This window comes from Homo sapiens, chromosome 1 (genome assembly GCF_000001405.40).
Source record: "Homo sapiens chromosome 1, GRCh38.p14 Primary Assembly".
In the NCBI taxonomy this organism is placed as follows: Eukaryota; Metazoa; Chordata; class Mammalia; order Primates; family Hominidae; genus Homo; species Homo sapiens.
The window spans coordinates 39,239,926-39,261,649 of NC_000001.11; the positions used below are offsets into that span (position 1 = coordinate 39,239,926).

Here is a 21,724-nt window from a genome sequence, read left to right on the forward strand (position 1 = left end):
CTGTCTTTCTGTTTTAAGAGACAAGTTATCCCTATGTTCCCTAGGCTGGTCTCAAACTCCTGTGCTCAAGGAATCTTTGGCCTTCCCGAGTGCTAGGATTACAGGCATGAGCCACCACACCTGGCCCACTTACACTTTCTCTATTTCTGTTTGAGACTCTCTAGTTGAATATGGGGTAGCACTGATTCCAGGTATTCTGTCCTATACAGCCTCTGTTTTGGCCACATGAGTCAATTCACTGGCTCCCTAATCACTGGGTGGAACTTCATACTTTTTGCGTATTCATGTCTATGGGAAATACCAGAATGAGACGGGCAGTGGAGTTTAATTTAAGAAATTGACAAAGTAGTGCTGGTTAGATGCTAAGGAAAGGAGTGTTACCTTTGTTGCCTACATGTGACTATATGGTAGTGGTTTGTGGCTGTCTTTGCCTGGACCTGATTTTTTAGGGCTTAATTTCACTCTAAATGCTTCTCAGGTCTACATATGGGCCTATATTTGGACTTGGGCTTTACTCTGGATTTTCTATTCCCTGTGCTTAAGTGCCTGCCTATCAAAGTAAAGCTACATTTTGTGGATTTTATTTTTTTAAGATGGAGTTTCACTCTTGTTGCCCAGGCTGGCATGCAATGGTGCGATCTTGGCTCACTGCAGCCTCCGCCACCCGGGTTCAAGCGATTCTCCTGCCTCAGCCTCCCGAGTAGCTGGGATTACAGGCATGTGCCACCACGCCTGGCTAATTTTGTATTTTTAGTAGAGAACAGGGTTTCTTCATGTTGGTCAGGCTGGTCTCGAACTTCTGATCTCAGGTGATCTGCCCATCTTGGCCTCCTAAAGTGCTGGGATTACAGGCGTGAGCCACTGCACCCAGCCTGTGGATTTTAGAATCATCCACATTCTTAGAGAATCTGTTAATCCGGGTTGACCGGTACCACTGTTAAATTTCTCACAATTTAGGGAATTCTCAAAACAGAGATATGATAAAATTCTTATATGCAAAGAACCTCACACTTTGTTCCCCTCCCACCCCCGCTCTCCAACAGGGATTCCCAGCTGCTACTTTTATTCCCTGCATTTAAGCATAGTTCTTTCCAGAGTAAAGAAGTCTAGGACAACTATAATCTGTTTTTTTTTTTTTTTTTAGTGTTGGGCTTTTCCTTGAAGACAAATTTGGCCAATGAATCAATATCGGTTTCTGTTTTTACAATTTGGAGATCTGCCATTCAGAAATCTATCTGAAATTACTAGGCTCACTTTCCCTTTCCCTGTATCTTTTAATAAGTGTAGGAGAGAGTAAATAACATTACTTTTCTCTTTAAAACTTTCTCCTCTGCCCTATATATTGCTCTTCAACATAGTTTGAGTCAAGGAAATTGGGCTGCTTACGTTTCCTTTTAATTGTTTAGAGGAAAGATTTCTAGATCAAGTTTTCGGCAGGTGTCAATACTACGAGGCCAGGCATGGTGGCTCACGCCAGTAATGTCAGCACTTTGGGAGGCCAAGGTGGGTGAATCACTTGAGGTCAGGCGTTCGGGACCAGCCTTACCAACATGGTGAAACCCCGTCTCTACTAAAAATACAAAAATTAGCCGGGTGTGGTGATGCATGCCTGTAATACCAACTACTTGGGAGGCTGAGGCAGGAGAATCGCTTGAACCCTGGAGGCAGAGGTTGTAGTGAGCTGAGATCACACCACTGCATTCCGGCCTGGGTGACAGAGCGAGACTCCATCTCAAAAAAAAAAAAAAAAAAAAAAAGAGTACTACGTGACAATCCTTGCTCTTTTTTGTGTATGTATGGCGGGGAGGGGGGACTCTTATTATTTAAAATTGATAATCTGTCATTTTGACCCTCCAAGCATCATAGAAGCCTTGTTAAGAGAGTCAGGAGACAATGATCTGGACCCAGCTCTGATACTTTCCAGCTAAGTGATCTTATACAAGTTATTTAGCTTCTCTAGGCAATGGTTTTCTCATCTGTAAACTGAGGGTATTAGAATTAAGTAATCTTTAAAGTCCCTTTGGGCTAAGATTAGGATTCCAAGCACGTAAGTGTAACTTACTCCTTTTGTTAAAGCCACTGAGAAATTGAGGGAAGCTGTTTATTTTTTCATAGCTTTAAGCTAATCTTTAAAAAATGGAGGCCGGGTGCAGTGCTCACGCCTGTAATCCCAGCACTTTGGGAGGCTGAGGCGGGTGGATCACTTGAGACCAGGAGTTCAAGACCAGCCTGGCCAACATGGCGAAACCTTGTCTCTATTAAAAATACAAAAAAATTAGCTGGGCGTAGCAGCGCATGCCTGTAGTCCCAGCTACTCGGGAGGCTGAGGCAGGAGAATCACTTGAATCCAGGAGGCGGATACTGTAATGAGCCGAGATAGCACCACTGCACGCCAGCCTGAGCAACAGAGTGAGACTCTGCCTCAAAAAAAAAAAAAAAGCAGACAGCAGACCCCTCCTTGACTTATTAATGCTTGGGCACTGGGGAGGATTGGACTTGGTCTCTCAAAATCTAATTATTCACTAATTTTAAGAAATCACTATATGGCTGGGTGTGATGGATCAAGCCTGTAATCCCAGCACTTCAGGAGGGTGAGGCTGGTGGCTTGAGGCCAGGAGTTCGAGACTAGCTTGGGCAACATGGCAAAACCCCATCTCTACAAAGAATAGAAAAAACTAGCCAAGCATGGTTGTATGCGCCTTGGGAGACTGAGGTGAGAGGATCACCTGAGCCCAGGAAGTCGAGGCTATAGTGAGCTGTGATCGCGCCACTGCACTCTAGCCTGGGTGATGGAAGTGAGACCCTATCTCCAAAAAAAAAAAAAAAAAAAAACTTTATGGCCAGCACAGTGGCCCACACCTGTAATCCCAACACTTTGGGAGGCTGAGGTGAGATGATCTCTTGAGGCCAGGAGTTTGAGACCAGCCTGGGTAACATACTGAGACACCATCTTGCCCCCGCAACCCCTGTCTCTATGAACATTCATTTACAAGTTTTTGTCTGGACGTATGTTTTCAGTTCTCTTTAATTACATACCTAGGGGCAGAACTGCTGGGTCGTATGGTAACTTGTGTTTAACCTGTTAGTAACCATCACATTATTTTCGAAAGCAACTGCACCATTTTACATCCTCACCAGCAGTGTATGAGGGTTCTAGATTCTCTGCTTTTTTGCTAACACTTATCTGTCTTTTATAATATAGACATCCTAGACAGCGCTAATCACTGCGGTTTTGATTTATGTTTTCCTTATGGCTAATGATGTTGAGCATCTTTTCATGTGTTTATTAGCCATTTATATATCTTCTCTGGACACATTTACTAATTTTGACAATGATTTTCTCAGGGAGTGCAAACAGGCAAGGCCCTGAATTGCAGTTTTTTACTCATTTGTTGACAGAATGGTATAATTATTTGTTAGAAAGAAGCATCCTTATTGATGATTCCTGAACAGTCTTGCTTCAGTTGGCTGCTTCTAAAACTTTTTCTTTTTTTGAGACAGGATCTCACTCTGTTGTCCAGGCTGGAGTGCAGTGGTGTGATAATAGCTCCCTGCAGCTTCAGTCGGCTGGGCTCAAGCAACCCTCCCACCTCAGACTCCTGAGTAGCTGGGATTGTAGGCATGCACCACCACACCTGGCTGACTTTTAAAATTTTTTGTAGAGATGGAGTCTCACTGTGTTGCCCTGACTGGTCTCAAACTCCTGGGCTCAAGTAATCTTCCTGTCTTGGCCTCCCAAAGTGCTGCAATAACATGCTTGAGCCACCGCACCTGGCCTTCTAAATTTTGATGCTTAGTCCACTGGTCATTTTCCTAAGAGATTTGTGGAAAACTTCACAGGCAAACTAGTATGAGCAGAAGAGATGAGGATTTTAGGATGGATAGATCTGGATTTGATCAGCCTGGCAATTTAGTAGATGTGTGATTTTGGGGATGTTAATTGAGCCCTCCAAATCCGATCTCTGTGTCTGAAAAATTCCTGACACAGAAGCACCCAGTAAATGTTAGCTAGTTCTTTACTCTTCTTTAGGTAGAGCTGTGTCTAGTATGCTTCAGAAACAGACTGCTGTTTTCTTTATTGACAGTTTTCCAGGCAAGGAAAAAAAAATCTCTTTGCATTCTCCTCTCCCATTACCTCTCTCTGTATCTCTTTGATAGTTTTATTTATTTATTTTTTATTAAAAATTTTTTTTGGGGGGGACAGAGTCTCACTCTGTTGCTCAGGCTGGAGTGCAGTGGCACAATCTCGGCTCACTGCAACGTCTCCCTCCTGGGTTCAAGCAGTTCTCCTTTCTCAGCCTCCTGAGTAGCTGGAATGTAAGGCGCGCCCCACCACGCCCCGCTAATTTTTGTATTTTTATTTATTTATTTTTTGAGGTGGAGTCGTGCACTGTCACCCAGGTTGGAGTGCAGTGTCGTGATCTCGGTTCACTGCAACTTCTGCCTCCGAGGTTCAAGTGATTTTCCTGCCTTAGCCTCCTAAGTAGCTGGGATTACAGGTGCCTGCCACCACACCCAGCTAATTTTTTGTATTTTTAGTAGAGACGGGATTTCACTATGTTGGCCAGGCTGATCTCGAACTCCTGACCTCATGATCCACCCGCCTTGGCCTCCCAAAGTGCTAGGATTACAGGTGTGAGCCACTGCACCCAGCCATTTTTTTTTTTTTTGAAATGGAGTCTCGCTCTGTTGCCCAGGCTGAAGTGCAGTGGCGCCATCTTGGCTCACTGCCACCCCTGCCTCCTGGGTTCAAGCAAATTCTCCTGCCTCATCCTCCCCAGTAGCTAGGATTATAGGCGTGTGCCACCATGCCCAGCTAATTTTTGTATTTTTAGTAGATAAAAGGTTTTGTCATGTTCACTAGGCTGGTCTCAAACTCCTGACCTCAGGTGATCCATCTGCCTCGGCTTCCCAAAGTGCTGGGATTACAGGCGTGAGCCACCACCCTGGCCAATTTTTGTATATTCAGTAGAGCGGGGGTTTTGCTGTGTTGGTCAGGGTGGTCTCCAACTCCTGATCTCAGGTGATCTGCCCACCTCGACCTCCCAAAGTGATGGGATTACAGGCATGAGCCACCGTGCTTGGCCAGTAGTTTTATTTTTATAGTTATTTGGTTACTATAGTCAGACAAAGATTGAGAGGCATAATAAGCTAGTTCTCATCTAAATTTCTTATAATATGTACAAGTTTTGCTACCACAGGTATAACACATAACCAGAATTTTGAGAAAGAAACATTAGGGCCTTGGTGTGAAATTAACTTTACATTTCAAGTTGCCTCCTTTGTCTTTTCAGTACTCTGTAGTGTTTAATATCTGTTGATAAGATGACCTCACTTGGTCCTCAAGACCAACTGCAATTTATTTTTATTATTATTATTTTTGAGATGGAGTCTTGCTCTGTCACCCAGGCTGGAATGCAGTGGTGCGATCTTGGCTCACTGCAACCCCCTCCAGCGCGATTCTCGTGTCTCAGCCTCCTGAGTAGCTGGGACTACAGGCATGTGCCGCCATGCACAACTTTTTTGTATTTTTAGTGGAGACAGGGTTTTGTCATGTTGGCCAGGCTTGTCTTAAACTCCCAACCTCAGGTGATCTCCCAGCATCAGCCTCCCAAATTGGTGGTATTACAGGTGTGAGCCACTGCGCCTGGCAACAGCAATTTATTTAAATATTTATTCAGGTTGGGAGTGGTAGCTCACACCTGTAATCCCAACACTTTGGGAGGCTGAAGTGGGAGGATTGTTTGTACCCAGGAGTTCGAGACTAGCCTGGGCAATATGGCAAGACTGTGTCTCAATCAATCAAGCAATATTTATTCATTCATTTATTTATTCATTCATTCATTCAGTGTCCTCCTGATTTTTATTCCCTATGTTCAGATCTTATCTATCAAAAATAAATCCCTCATTTAACTTAGTTCTCTTCTTAATCCTTAATGTCAAGTATGTAATATTTTCTGACTTTTTAAAAAACCTACCATTAATTTATAATCTGATTTTCACTCTACCACTCTCTTGAGAAATAGTCTCACAAAAGCACTCTTACTTATTTGTAGGAAAGTTAAAAAACTTTCTTAGTCTTTATCCTCCTTGACTTCTGCTGTAGTATTTGATACCGGTGATCATTCCTATCTTGATTACACTTTCTTGTATTTTTGCTTACCTCTTTCACTGTTATTGTTTTGTTTTGTCTTTTTCTTCTGTCCTTTGTTGATTGCTTTTCCATCTCCTGCCTTCTAATTTTGGCTGTTCCCTGAGGCTCAGTCCTTAGCACTCTGCTCTTCTATCTTACTCCTAATCCAGAAAGCCCATTTCCATGTCTTTAGCTAGCACCTCTGTGCATGTGACTTCTAAAGTTAAGTTCTCAGCTGACCCAAACTGAATTCTGGTATTTCCAGCTGCTTCAAGAACATTTTCATTTGTAACTTCTTTGCTGCCATTTTAAATTCAACATATTTAAAATTGAATTTATCAAATCCACTGCCCTTTTAACAAACCTTATGACCTGCCTATTTCTGTTAATGGTCCACTACTGTTGTTCCACACTGCAAACTTGAAACCTTGGGTCTATTTGAGGGAGGGGTTTTTGTTTTTGTTTTTGAGACAAAGTTTCACTCCTGTTGCCCGGGCTGGAGTACAATGGTGTGATCTTGGCTCACTGCAACCTCTGCCTTCCGGGTTCAAGCGATTCTCCTGCCTCAGCCTTCTGAGTAGCTGGAATTACAGGCGCCCACGACCACACCCGGCTAATTTTTTGTATTTTTAGTAGACACGGGGTTTCACCATATTGGCCAGACTGGTCTCGAACTCCTGACCTCAGGTGATCCACCCACCTCAGGCTCCCAAAGTGCTGAGATTACAGGTGTGAGAGGGAGGGGTTTTGAAATCTTGGAGCCCCTGGTATGCTGGAGCCAGCTTATGGACTCATGAGAGCCAAGTGTTAAATTTTCAGCAATTTTGTGAGCTGGTTGCTAAACATAGCTTTTTTTTTTTTTTGAGACAGTCTTGCTCTGTTGCCCAAGCTGGAGTGCAATGGTGTGATCTTGGCTCACTGCAACCTCTGTCTCTGAGGTTCAAGGGATTCTCCTGTCTCAGCCTCTCGAGTAGCTGGGATTACAGGTGCATACCACCATGCCCGGCTAATTTTTTTTTTTTTTTTTTTTTTGAGACGGAGTTTCGCTCTGTTGCCCAGGCTGGAGTGCAGTGGCGCGATCTCGACTCACTGCAAGCTCCGCCTCCCGAGTTCACGCCATTCTCCTGCCTCAGCCTCCCGTGTAGCTGGGACTACAGGCGCGCGCCACCATGCCCGGCTAATTTTTGTATTTTTAGTAGAGACGGGGTTTCACTGTGTTAGCCAGGATGGTCTCGATCTCCTGACCTCGTGATCCGCCCGTCTCGGCCTCCCAAAGTGCTGGGATTACAGGTGTGAGCCACTGCGCCCAGCCACAGCTATTATTAAAAATTAAATTATGTAAACATACAATTAAATAAATTATATTTAAAGTAAATGTAATACATCCTCAAAGCTGTTCATTTCATAATTGTTTTGCTGCATGTTAGTATTGTCTGTACTCTTGAGGTTATGTCTGTTGTGTCTCTGTGATGGAAATACTGTACATAATGGTGTGCTACTGTATATTTCTTCCCAACATTGCATTTAGTGATATTATATTAGTAGCTTGAAATTGGTTGTATTGGGAATATTTACATCATGGAAATCAGCAAATTCTACAAGTTTGAGTTAGATGTCTTGTTTTGTTTATTGTTTAGACTTAAGAAAGTGATGGGGAAAATGTTAATATTGCAGATTAAATTTAAAAGTGTGGGCCGGGTGTGGTGGCTCACGCCTGTAATCCCAGCACTTGGGGAGGCTGAGGCGGGTGGATCACAAGGTCGGGAGATTGAGGCCAACATGGTGAAACCCCGTCTCTACTAAAAATACAAAAATTAGCTGATTGTGGTGGTGCGCACCTGTAATCCCAGCTACTCGGGAGGCTGAGGCAGGAGAATCACTTGAACTCGGGAGGCAGAGGTTGCCGTGAGCCAAGATTGTGCCACTGCACTCCAGCCTAGTGACAGAGCAAGACTCTGTCTCAAAAAATGTATATATTCTTTCAGTTTTTAAAGCTATTTTCCAGTTCATCATGAACCATCTTCCCCAGTTGTATAACGTACCTGTCACCTTCTTATTTCTTTACACACATACATACACACATACCTTGCATATGTCCATCTCTATGCCAAGTCTTATGTGGTTTTTCCGTCTTCTTTCTACTAAAACATTTGCTAATCCTCCAAGTCCCGTTTCTTCGAGGAAGTCTTTACGTATGTTTCCATTCTTTATCTTGTCCAGTTTCCATTCTTATCCTACTTTCTTTTTTTTTATTATTTTTTTCAGACAGGGTTAAAAAAGAAACCCCTCATTACAAAAGGGTCTTGGTTTGTCACTCAGGCTGGAGTGCATTGGTGCAATGATACCTTACTGCAGCCTTGAGCCTTAAACTCCTGGGCTAAAGCAGTCCTCCTGTCTCAGCCTCCCAAAGCACTGGTATTACAGGTGTGAGCCATTGCACCTGGCCTCCTGCTCTACTTTCAGAGCTACTTTGAATATTATAATTGGAAAGGACTTCAGTTTTCCACTCAAATGTAAAAATCCCCAAATCCCCAGCCTCTACTCAAAATTATAGTAACTAAAATTCTACTACTTCTGAAAGTAGCCCTTTCTAGCGTTGTCTGGAAAATTAATATATTAAAAATCAATCTTCCTTATAATTTTCACAAGTCTTCCCATTCTGTGTTGTGAACATCACCTTTTTTTTCGAGACAGAGTCTTGTTCTGTCGCCTATGCTGGAGTATGGTGGTGTGATCATAGCTCACTTGCAGCCTTGATTTCCTGGGCTCAAGTGATCCTCCCACCTCAGCCTCCTGAGTAGCTGGGACCATAAGCATATACCACCATGCCTGGCTTTTTTTTTTGTTTTGTAGAGAAGGGGGTCTCCCCACATTGCCCAGGCTGATCTCGAACTCCTAGGCTTATCTCAAACTCCTAGGGTCAAGGGATCCTCCTGCCTTGGCCTCCTAAAGTACTGGGATTGCAGGCAGAAGCCACTGCACCTGGCAATGAGTATCACTTAATGAAGTCGTCACTAGACTGGGACTGAATCAGAAATCCAATTGCCACTTAACTTATAGCTAAGTGACCATAACATCTCAGAACCTCAGCTTCCTTGGTTTCTTTGATGGAATGGTGGTAATAAGTAAACTTCACAAGGTAATTGTTTGGATTAAATAAATAGAATGAGATGATGGCTGATTATAAAGCATAGTAGTTAATGGCAAAGACTAAAATCAGATGAAACTGAGGCCGGTTTTTCCACTTGGTGACCTTGGGCAATTTACTTAACCTCTTTGTGCCTTATTTCCTCATGTGTAAAATAGAAATAATAATACTACTTACCTTAGAGATGTGAGAGATAGATAACATATTAAACATTTAGTACCATGTTTGATATTAACCACACTTTCTCCCAAAGTGAGATCTGTTTTTCCATAGTTCCAATTTTAAAGTTAATTGGAATTTCCCACAAAGAAAATTATTCTGAAATTCGCTATTAGAAATATTTGGTGTAAGAGAAGGGTTAAATTGGAAATACACCCCAGGAAACACTGGGTGCCTAGCATTTAGTTTCCTTTGCAGCACTCTAGAAGGCTTTTCTGACTCTGGCTGGACTCATCTACCCATCATTCGCCATGCTATTACATTTTGGCTCATAGTAACTCCTAAGATGTCTCAGGATAATTAAGACTCCCCATCTTCTTGTCCAAACTTTCTAGGACGTTGTTGCATGTTGGTTAGAGTGTGTAATAGATCTGGCATCAATTTAAAAAACACACACGTTTCTGGTAAAGTATTATCATTTCACATGTATTTTATTCCAATCTGAAACTTCCTGAATTTTATTATTTAATTGTTGCTTCCACTTTTAAATTCTTTAATTTGTGTTTACCTAGAACCAGAGATTTTTATGTGGATAGTATAATAATTCAATATCAAATAAAAATCTGTCTGTTTCACTCTCATTCACAGGTCCGCAAGCACATCAATGATCTTTATGAAGATCTGCGGGATGGCCATAACCTGATCTCTCTGTTGGAGGTCCTCTCAGGCATCAAACTGGTGAGCTTCTCCTAATGAATGGCCTCACAATTGTGGCCCTACAAATGACATATTGGTCCATCTCATTGAGTGCAAGGGCAGCAGCCATCACTGTTTCATCTATTAGAGGGGAGGAAGAAGTAGAAGGAAATGTTGGGGGACTTTATTTCTAACTCAGACTTAGAATTTACAAATTATATAATTTAAATTGATGTATTATATGTTCTCATTTCTTGATGAAATGAGAAATTAGTTATAATCCTTTTTATATCTGCATGTTTTTGCATTACTTTTTCTTTATTTTCTAGATACTAATATTTCAGAAACAGTAGATTCATGTTTAAAGGTTTTTTTGAATTAGGTGTATTTTTCTTCCTAGAGCTCTAGTCTATATAGACGCCTCTCATTTTCCAATCTATTGTGAATTTTTAAAATTTTATGTATTCAGCTAAAGACCTGAAGTTTACATTTAAAAGCCCAGGTGTATGAAGTTATTTTTTTTTCCAAATCATCTCACTTTCTCCCTTCTGTGATTCATTGAGTCTTACAGATTTGGAGAGCTGCCAAAGTTGTCTGAGCATAGCCTTGGATATAGAACATCTGGGCTCCTTGATTAATTAATATGCCTGCTTCTTCCCAAAATGTTCTAACATTGATTATGGGAAACACCTACATATCTGAGGGCAAATCCTGTCTGAGCTTCTTGCCTTGCCAAATGATAGTTCTTCTACTTGCTTTGAGGGATGGAAATCACCCACTTGTAGGCCTACTGTTTTCTATATTTGAGCCTAATGGGAGCAGGTGATTCCATATGGTTCATACTCTTTCTCTCATGCCATAGACAACATAATTTTCATTTAGAAAAGTCCAGGGTTGAATACTGGAAATATCTGTGGAGAAATAGAGAACCAAAGAGATGTATAGCTCAAGTAGTCTGTGAAGACCAGCCCACTCACTGCCTTTCTTAGTCATTGTTTGTTGTGTTTAAGTAACAGAATTTGGCACATTTGATTTTACTGCCTAAGTGATATTCAGCTCCTTCTAGGATTGGGGCTTGGCTTCCCTGGGTCCTTTGTTTTGGTTTCGTATCTTTTTTTTTGCCTTGCAATAGAATTAATTATATATTTTTTAATGGCCTAAAATTGACAGAAGCTTTTATTAGCATAGCCGGCACATTTAATTTCTAGTTCTTGCTCTCTGGCTCGTGTTTATAAGTCTAATAAGTAATCAGAATTTTACTTTCATTGTGCTGGACTTTATTCTTCACCACTCACACAGTTACATTTTGGGCAATGTGTCTGGTACATTTAATGAATTTGTAATGATTTTATATTGAAAAGTGATCTTTTTTGGTTGTATTGCTTACGTAATAAGTTGAAACTATGTCAATCTAATTTCTTTTCCTAACCTTTGAAAACCTTTAAGTGTTTGTGGAGATACTGATAGGATATCATCTCTTCACCAAAAACCATCCAGATATCTCTTTGACAGTTATTCTCACCATGTTTTTTCCCCATAGTTGACTTAGAAAAGCAGAGAGGGTAGGAGGCTAAGGAGAATTGAAGATGTGTTTCATCATAAGAAGTGTTCAATGTAACCATCTGCTCTGGTTTTGATTTAGTTTTGTATCTTTTTCGGAGGTGGGAGGGTATTTTCATATTTGTTTTTCCTTTTTTTTAAGTGTTGCATTCATTTCCTTTCCATCTTTTTATTGTGAATTTCTTGTTCCTCTATTGTGTCTTTGCCTTGGTTGGTGGCCAAAGGAGCCAGCAGGGCTGAAGACCCTCCGTCTGGTGAGCATGCCCTCCTGGTGCCATACAAACAACGAGGAGCAGGCGGAGGAAGATGATGATGATGTAGTAGGTCCTCCTGGGGATGCCAGCATCCCAGCTGGCACTGCTGGCACTGCAGGGCCATCAGAGTCTGAGGTTCTCCAGGTCTCGAAGTAGTTCAGTTACTATTTGCCACCTTCTCATTTCAACTGGGAATTTGGGTCCCAAAGAAAGTAGTTAAAACTAATTGTGCCTTTTGTCACTGTTAGGTGCTCATGGACTGGGAATTGTTTTTCTTAGCTGAGAAGGGTTGGCACAAAAAGAATAATGGTTTTTGGAGGTGTCAAGTTCTCTTCTGACCTGGAGACCCATAGCTTTCTGGTGGCCTTGCTGTGTTTTCTGAGTCCAGATTGCAGAATTGTGGAAAATTTAGTTGACAGCATGACAATTAATTGCTCACAACTCCACAGTCTAGACTAACTGGTACTCTCCACCTCTCTGGCCTCTAGGTTATCATCATACACCCCGTCATTTGTTTTCAAAACAGCCTGTTTGCAAACTCACTGCATGGAGATACTCTGGCTTTGCTCAATAATATCTAGTTGCTATAGAGGACAGAGATTTAACTTGCATGTTCTTAGGGTATTTATTTTTGGTGAGGGGTACATATGAGTAAAGATTAGAGTATAAGAGGAGTGTATTCTGCCTGCAGGCCCTAAATTATAGTCCAAAATCTTTTTCCAGAAACAAGGATTAGGCAATATCCTCATTCTCTGTCCTCTTAAAATCATTTTAAAAATATCATTTGTCTCCCTTCTCATTGCCTTAGAATCTTCCATTTTATAGGCACTATCATCTTCTAAGCCATATTCACAATTAATTTAGCTGAAATGACTGAGAAAAGGTTCTTGCTAAAAAGATTTTTCCTAAACCTTTGACTGAAGAAGTTATCCTGTGCCCAGAGAGGCCTTGACATCTCTGTGAACAGATTCTCCTATTTGAGAAGTGTTGCTTAGAAGTGTTGGAGAGTGCCCAGAAGATGCTTCCATCCTTATCTCTCCATGTGTTAGGGTACTTTTTGCCCATTTTAATTTGGAGCAATGTTGTTCTCTGCAGACACCCGCAACAGAGCTACCTTATATTTTATCAGCCTTTAATTAGTGTCAATTTGACACTTACAAAAGAAGTGGGTATAATCTAGTGAGAGTGATATTTCTCTCCAAATTTTAGTAAAATATAAGCAACGTTAGAAAGTAAGCAGAAGAAAATGTTCTAGGGGTAGATATCCCTTTCTGTGATACTCAGTAGGCAAAGAGACTGCATTCACTTTCCAACTGGTAATAGTTGAGCCTTGGACGGGGTACCAGAGGCACTGGGTAGAGATGGGGTTCTCTCCAGTGGGTTGTATGACATCTGGGATTGAGTGACTGGCATAACTTTCTCAGGAGTAATTATGTTGACAGCCCTACACTATCAAAGTTTTGTTTGCTGTGGGTATTTCATGCTGGAGTAAAGGGTGCCCTTCCTTCAGTGGCAGCTATGTTCCTGGGAAACTGGTTGCTTCCTAATTTTTGCCTCCCATTTTGGATTTTTTCACTTGTTTCTTGAGCATATGTAACTTCTCATTTCCTATGGTTAAAAATCAGCTATCTGTATTTTTTTTTTTTTTTTTTTTTTGAGGTGGAGTCTCACTCCATCTCCCAGGCTGGTGTACGGTGGCATGATCTTGGCTCACTGCAACTTCCACCTCCTAGATTTAAGCTATTCTTGTGCTTCAGCCTCCCAGATATCTGTGATTACAGGCATGTGCCACCACGCCCGGCTAATTTTTGAGGAGCCAATGAAGGGACGGGATTTCACCATGTTGGTCAGGGTTGTCTCTAACTCCTGGGCTCAAGCAATCCTCCTGCCTCGGCCTCCCAAAGTGTTGGAATTATAGGCGTGAGCCACTGCACTTGGCCAAAAATTGGCTATCTTGAGCTCCTTTTGCCATGTTTGTAATAAAGTTGGCTCCATCTACTACTATGCAATATGTAATTAGGACTTTCCACCCTTTCTCTACGATAGCATTTAACTGTGATTTTAGGAGTCATAGAGCCAAAGTCTGTTCCCATTAACCTCACATCCAGAATCAAGTTCTGCCACATGTGACTGCAGATGAACCTGAACAGAAGCTGTGGCATTGATTCGGCATTAGTGGTCAAACAGTATTCTGTGTTTGCGAGATGCGTAGTGGTACACAAGACATTTGGGGACCTCAGAGAGCCTGGTCGAAACACGTACAGGCCTGGTCTTAGGGGGTGCTTTGTGTAATGCTCCCAGGCCTGGCTTCTACTGTAAGGAATTCTTGTGTGGTCCTTTAGTCCTGGAAATAAAAGAGAAAGGGTCTGTATGGTTAAATTGTGTAGCCAGAATTAACATCCCTTTTTTTGTTTGTTTGCAGCCCCGGGAGAAGGGCAGGATGCGTTTTCATAGGCTGCAGAATGTGCAGATTGCCCTGGACTTCCTAAAGCAGCGACAGGTAAGACCATCACATGCCTTCCCCATTCTTCCAGGCTGTGTTGGCATTGGGGCCCTATTCAGAGATGTTTTTAGTGCCCCTAGTAAGCTCTCAGTAAATGCTAAATCTGATTGACCCAGTTCTGAGTCTTAACTTGCTAGTGAGCAATTGTATTCTGGTTAGAGAAATCATTCAGTACTCACACAGAACTTGTGACCTCCTTGAGAGGAAGAATGTTCACGGAGAAGAACATGATGATAAAGATGGAATTTTGTGGATGCACCTTAGGTGGGGGTCAAAATGAAGATGAAAAATAAACTAGAAAAGAGATGGAAAAAAGGTGTGGCATCCAGGAAGAGAGAGAACCAGATTGCTATATCAAGGTGAAAATGAGATAAGGGGGTAGTGTGGATTGTGGAATGCCACATCAGATCTGAGAAAAAGGTCTAAGTTGTTAAGCACTGATAACTTAAGTGAGCAGTTTAATACAGGAGAAAGATATTTAGAGTATAGTAGAGCTAGATATAGGAAGGGAGAAAGAAGCTTTTCCTTCCCTGGATGAGGAAGACAACAACCCATTTTTAGACATAGGAAGAGGAGCCAATGAAGAGAGTAAGAATGAAAATGAGCATGAGGAGGAGTATTGGTAGTCATAGAACGTTTCACCGAGAAGATACCCTAATGTTGTACTAGTCCAGTTTCTTATTATAGATAAAGAAACTGAGACCTGGACAGGTAAATGACCTGCCTCAAATCACAAGTCAGAGCAAAGCTGAGACTTTAACTCAGGCCTTCTGACATGCAGTTTAGTGCACCTTCCACTATCCATGCTGCTTTCTACACAGCACCCTTCCTCCTTTGCTTCCTAACTGAAGGAACCAAATCCAGGGATTGATGGATGAGAAGCAGAGCACAAGTGGTGTGGCCATCTTTGAAAAAGAAAAGAAAAATACCTCTTTTGAGAGACAAGGAGAATGACAGAGGGAGGGGTGAAGATACAGAGATGGTTTGTGGTAGAAAGAAGATGGATGAGGGAGTCAAAGAGTTCATCTGCTTAGAGTGAGCCATATGGAAAATATTTGGGATATCTAGGGTTGCCAAGCAACAACAGGGTCAACGTGACATTAAATGGTATGCATATTTTTGGAGTCAGTTCATTTTTGACACTCATATCAGTAATTCTCATTAACTTCTAAAATTCTCTGTTTGCTCTCATAACAATTTACTTCTGGTATAACATTTCTTATTTTCTTGTTATTTCTCTGTTTGCTCCAATGCATTATAGGCTCCGTGAGGACGGGGAATAAGATCTTAACATTTCACCTTCATCTCTCATAATGAATGGTCCTCAGTTGGCACTTAATAAATATTTGCTGAAATAAATTGATAAATAAAAGTGGTAGAAGTGGAGGTTGCTGAAGTGTTTAGGGTACTGGAGAAAGCAGCATTGAAATGCCTGTGTGTGGAGCTAGAGGAAGCTGGGGTGGGGGCCTTACTGGCAGGGTTTATGAGAAGAATTGATTAGCTAGAAGTCTAAATCAGGACAAAAAGTGGCTTTGGTTACTATGATAGAATGAAAACGTGGACAGGTAAGAACAGTGGATTCAAAGAAGGGCAGGGAGATTACTAGAGCCGTTCTTGGTAACGGTAAAGTCCAAGATGTAGCTGTGCAGATGGCCAAGGTAGGGAAAAACGAAAGTCATCAGAATTCAAAAGGCAGGCAATTTGTGCAGATAGTGTAATATTTGGGATATCAATATAAATGCTAAATTTCCAGGAAAGGTGATGATGAGGCAGGAAAAGAGAATAGGAGCTAGGTAGTGAGGTCATTGAGAAAAAGGTTAGCAGAGATTGGAAGGTGGTTTGGCCAAGGGAGGTAGACTTCACAATGAAAGGGGAAGGCTGACAGAGGTAGGACTGAGGAATGTGGACTTGGCTGGTACTGGTAACCCACCAACTGTCAACTGTTAGTGATTAGAAAAATTGAATTCTCGGGGAGGGGACAGGTTTTCCCACTTGCATCCTACTCCCACCGTATAGAAGAGGAGACCAAGATACAGAAAAGGGAAAGAACTTGCCCAGATGAATGTCATTGTAAGGGAGAAATGAGGCCTCCATTTGAGAAGGTCACTAGGGTCCTCTGGAGACACACAAGTTTCAGTTCAGTAGAAGAGATAAAGGGAGGACAGCTGAAGGACACTGTGTCGCAGGACTCTGAGGGTATGATTGAGGAGGCTAACAGAGGTGAAGTAGAAGTAGGGTGGTTTGCCCAGGACACTCCCAGTTTTAAAGTTCCACGTCCCAGGAAATTCCTCCGTTCCCAGCACACTGGGGCAGTAAGTCAGCCTGGGAAGAGGGTGTGTCAGGGCACATTGAGTTGTTGGGATGAGATTTTAGGAGTAAAGCAGGTGCTGCGGGAGGCATGGCAGGTATGGATATCTGTGACAAAGATGGGATAATGGAGGTGAGAGCAGGCCAAAGACTGGTGAGGGAAGAGAGGCATCTCTCTTTTCTGTCTTTCTCTCTCAGAACCTTAAGAAAAAAAAAAAAAAGGCAAAGAAGAAAGAAATCTTGGCCCTGATGGCAATAAAAAAGTGACCCACAATACCTTGTGCTTGCGAGGTTGCTTTTCTGGTGAGAAAGCAAAATGGCGTAGCTACTCTGATGACTTCTTATAAAGCTAATCATATATCATATAACCCAGCAATCCCACTCCTAGGAATATACCCTAAAGAAATTACTGTGCTCACACAAAAACCTGCACATGAATATTCATAATTGCCAAAATCTAGAAATAATTCACATATCCTTCGATGGATGAATGGGTGAACAAAGAGTAGCATATCTCTATAATGGAATACTACTCAGCGATCAAAAGGAGCAAACTGTTGATTCATGCAACAGCTTGGATAGGGATCTCAAGGGCATTATGCCGAGTGAAATAAAAAGACAGTTTCTTTTTTTTTGAGACGGAGTCTCACTCTGTCGCCCAGGCTGGAGTGCAGTGGCACAATCTCTGCTCACTGCAAGCTCTACCTCCCAGGTTCACGCCATTCTCCTGCCTCAGCCTACTGAGTAGCTGGGACTACAGGCACCCGCCACCATGCCCGGCTAATTTTTTGTATTTTTAGCAGAGACGGGGTTTCACCGTGTTAGCCAGGATGGTCTCGATCTCCTGACCTCGTGATCCGCCTGTCTCAGCCTCCCAAAGTGCTGGGATTACAGGCGTGAGCCATCGCGTCTGGCCGGCAGTTTCAAAATCTTGCATGCTGCATGATCCCATTTATCCAACACTCTGGAAAAAGCAAAACAAGGAATCAGGATCAGATCAGTGGTTGTCAGGAATTAGGGGTGAGAGTAGGGTTTGATTACAAGGAGGGGGCCAGCACAAGGGACCTTTTTGGGGTGATGAAACTGTTTTGTGGTGGTAGTTGCATGAATCTATACATGTGTTAAAACTCATAGAACTGTACACCAAAAAAGAAATCAGTTTAACTGTAAATCAATAATGAAGTGATGCAAAAATTTAATCAAAACAAAAAGTCCTAGAGCTCTGAGCCGTGCTTTTATTTCTTTTTCAGGTGAAACTAGTGAATATTCGCAATGATGACATCACAGATGGCAACCCCAAGTTGACCCTGGGTCTGATCTGGACCATTATTTTGCATTTCCAGGTAGGGCATGTGAAGTTTGGAATTCCTGTTGCTTTGTTTGGACATGGCCTAGAAAGTTGCACTGCCTTCCACAGACAGCATTGAGCCTTCCTTCTCTCTATTTGTCAGTGAACAAAGGTGGATGGGAGTTGGAAAGGAAAATTAAGATTGATCTGCAGACAAGCTGTTGTATCGTAAACGCAAAACTTCCTAATTATTTGCTTAATTAAATGGAGGGATTTTTTTACCCATTTGTGGTTTGGCCCTGTCCTCAGCAGTCTGGTTATTAGAGGTCTGTTTGCTCAGCTGAATCAAAATGAGGCTCTTGAAGGACTCAGAATATGAGGGTTGAGAAAAGCTGTTGGTGTTGATGCTTTAGAATGGTGGAGTGAAGGTTCATAGTCCTGCTCTAATGTAGACTTTTTCTCATCTCTAATAACCTTTAAACAAGCCTCGTTAATTAGAATACTTTAGTATCTGGGTTTGTATATGTGCTGGCAAGCACAACCTTGCAGCGGCCATCACACCCAAGAGCATCTTGAAGAATATTCACATGGTCACATGGCCTTCCTCTTCCTAAGAAGGCAAATCCTTTTTAGATCTGAATTGCTATTGGAAAAGTACAGCCCTATTTTTATAAAAAGGCTGTTCTTTTACATCCCTTTTAGGTCAGCCAAACAAAGCTATTTCTCAGACAGCTCTCTCTGATACACAGTTGCTGCACATGAGGCTGATGGATTAGAGGCTGATAGCTAGTGGGAATAGAAGGCAGGGTGCCGACTTCAGGGATGAGGCCAAGGTGACATCCTAGCTGGGGAGTTGGCGCTACCTGCTGGTTAAAGATAGAACAACAGGTGTCCCCGAATTCCTGAGAGAAAAATCTGAGTGCTTAGGCTTGTTTCTTGAGGCTCTAGTTTGGAAGCAATGCTGGCAGTCACCAGCATGGACAGGGCTAGGATTGTGTGGTGGTAATGTATTTTTGTGGAACCACAGGGTATCCTCAGGCAAGCTTTGGGCATAGGGATAACCAGGAACATGAACTTGGTAGGTGTGCTCTGTCTGGCAGGATGGGAAACTTTGTTGAGCTTTCATGGAGGACTACAGTTATCCCTTTGGAACTCTTATGAACAGAGGAGCTTTTAGAGAAATTTGTTTGTTTTTTGGTCACAAACCTGCCCTCACTGTGAGTGCCCAATGTTTGTCTCATAGGTGGGAGGTAAGGAGAATTTATTCACTGTCTCTATTCACCCCAACTACTACAACTAAATTAATTTCCTTTTTTTTTGACCGAGTTTTGCTCTTGGATTGCAATGATGTGTTCTTGGCTCACTGCAACCTCCGCCTCCTGGGTTCAAGAGATTCTCCTGCCTCAGCCTCCCAAGTAGCTGGGATTACAGGCACCTGCCAACATGCCTGGCTAATTTATATGTTTTTAGTAGAGATAGAGTTTCACCATGTTGGCCAGGCTAGTCTCGAACTCCTGCTCTCAGGTGATCCACCCACCTCGGTCTCCCAAAGTGTTGGGATTACAGGCGTGAGCCACCGTACCAGGCCATAACAAATGTTTAAATAGAGAAAACATTTTCTTTTCTTTTTTCTTTTTCTTTTTCTTTCTTTCTTTTTTTGTTTTTTGAGACGGAATTTCGCTCTTGTTGCCCGGGCTAGAGTGCAATGGTGCAATCTCCGTTCACCGCAACCTCTGCCTCCCGGGTTCAAGAGATTCTCCTGCTTCAGCCTTCCGAGTAACTGGGATTACTGGCATGCACCACTACACCCGGCTAATTTTGTATTTTTAGTACAGGGTTTCTCCATGTTGGTCAGGCTGGTCTCAAACTTCCAACCTCAGGTGATCCACCTGCCTCAGCCTCCCAAAGTGTTGGATTACAGGCGTGAGCCACCGTGCCCGGCCAGAAGAAACATTTCCTTGAAGCATTTAAAAATTTCATTTCTTTCTGTTTACTAGTTTTCAGAATAATTAGTTGGTTCGCTAAGATTCTCCAAAGGTGACCAATAATAGTTCCTTTGTTCACCATTTTTTTTTTAGTATCACTGTGACTTGTGGATTTTTAAGCAGACTTAATGTTCCAATCAAATACAGTTATTATTCTTTTTAATAAAATCAAATAGCTCCATCTTTGGCTGTAAAGAGGCTTTCAAGTTGACTCTGAGTCCTTTGGCATGACCACAGTGGTCTTTGATAATTTCCTTTATTTCTTGTGCGATGAGGTATTCCAGACTCTTTTTTTATATTTTCTGTCCCAGGCCTGAAATTCTTAATCTCCCCTAGGAACTGGTTCTCTATTTATTGACCACAGTCTGAATGCTCCTAGGTTGCCCATTATTTCTTTCTTTTTCTTTTCTTTTTTTTTTTTTTTGAAGCAGATTTCGCTCTTGTTGCACAGGCTGGAGTGCAATGGCACCATCTCGGCTTACCAAAACCTCTGCCTCCCAGGTTCAAGCGATTCTCCTGCCTCAGCCTCCCAAGTAGCTGGGATTACAGGCGTGTGCCACCACGCTCAGCTAATTTTTTTATTATTAGTAGAGACAGGGTTGTTGGCCAGGCTGGTCTCGAGCTCCTGACCTCAGGTGATCCACCTGCCTCAGCTTCTCAAAGTGCTGGGATTACAGGCGTGAGCCACCACACGCGGCTGGTTGCCCATCATTTCTAGGCTTTTTCTGTGGGCAGAGCTAGGCAATACTTGTATTATCTCTAAAAACAACAACAACAACAACAAACAAACAAAAAACCCCATGAATTTTTACTGATATTTCTAATTCAAATTTAGGATTGCAGGGTTTTGTTTAACCTCTTTGACTTTATATCATTTTTTTTCTTATACTGAAAATCTTGATCTTAACAACAGTAATGTGGTTACTTACTCTTTTCCTACACACACAGAGATCTGTAAAATCATATATATTATTTGTAATATATATGAATCCAAGTGACAATATGAATGTTATTGTTAGCAGTATGATTACTTTGAAGTCACTTGAAATAATTTCTCTCTATTGTTGTTAAGCCACAAATTCAATACACAATTAAGGTTCATTTGTTTTTATTTGCTTTCAGTTTTGGGGGGTTGCTTTTTTCCTTTCAATTTTACCTTACATTATGTAGATCATTTATATTGTTCCAAAGGGAAATTTTAAAAAGTTAAATACAAATTGTGTTCAGAGAGGTCTAGCTTCCATCTCTGCTCCCTCCATTCTGTATCTTCCCATTCTCTGTAGTTAGCTAAATGTTTTAAAACACCTTTTTGGTTATAATTTCTATTGTTTGTTTATTTTAGGAAAATGCATTCATAAAAAAAACTTTACTGAGGTGTAATTTACATACCATCAAATCAACTAATTTAATGATTTTTATGAGTTGTACAATCATCACCATAATCTAGTTTGGGGACATTTTCATCATCCAAATAAGATCCTTCTTGTTCATTTACAGTTACTGCACATTTTCATCACCAGCCTCAGGCAGCCACTAATTTATTTTCTATCTTGATAGATTTGCTTATTCTGGACATTTCATATAAATGGAATCCTATGATAGATGGTCTTTTGTATCTGGCTTTTTTCACTTAACATAATATTTTTTGGTTCATCCATGTTGTGGCACATATCAGTACGTCATTCTTTTTT

The 21,724-nt window shown here is 41.7% G+C and overlaps 1 protein-coding gene across 2 annotated transcripts in view; it reads left to right on the forward strand.

Moving 5' to 3' along the window:
• The window catches only part of MACF1 (microtubule actin crosslinking factor 1), a 402,972-nt gene that overhangs the window by 155,759 nt on the left and 225,489 nt on the right, over positions 1-21,724 (forward strand). Inside the window, exons 3-6 of one of the 2 annotated variants that reach the window (NM_001394062.1) lie at positions 10,089-10,178; positions 11,921-12,016; positions 14,373-14,450; positions 18,011-18,103. In NM_001394062.1, coding sequence (NP_001380991.1) covers positions 10,089-10,178; positions 11,921-12,016; positions 14,373-14,450; positions 18,011-18,103 — 357 coding nt within the window. The remainder of the gene's footprint in view (positions 1-10,088; positions 10,179-11,920; positions 12,017-14,372; positions 14,451-18,010; positions 18,104-21,724) is intronic. The other variant, NM_012090.5, reaches the window with a different exon arrangement.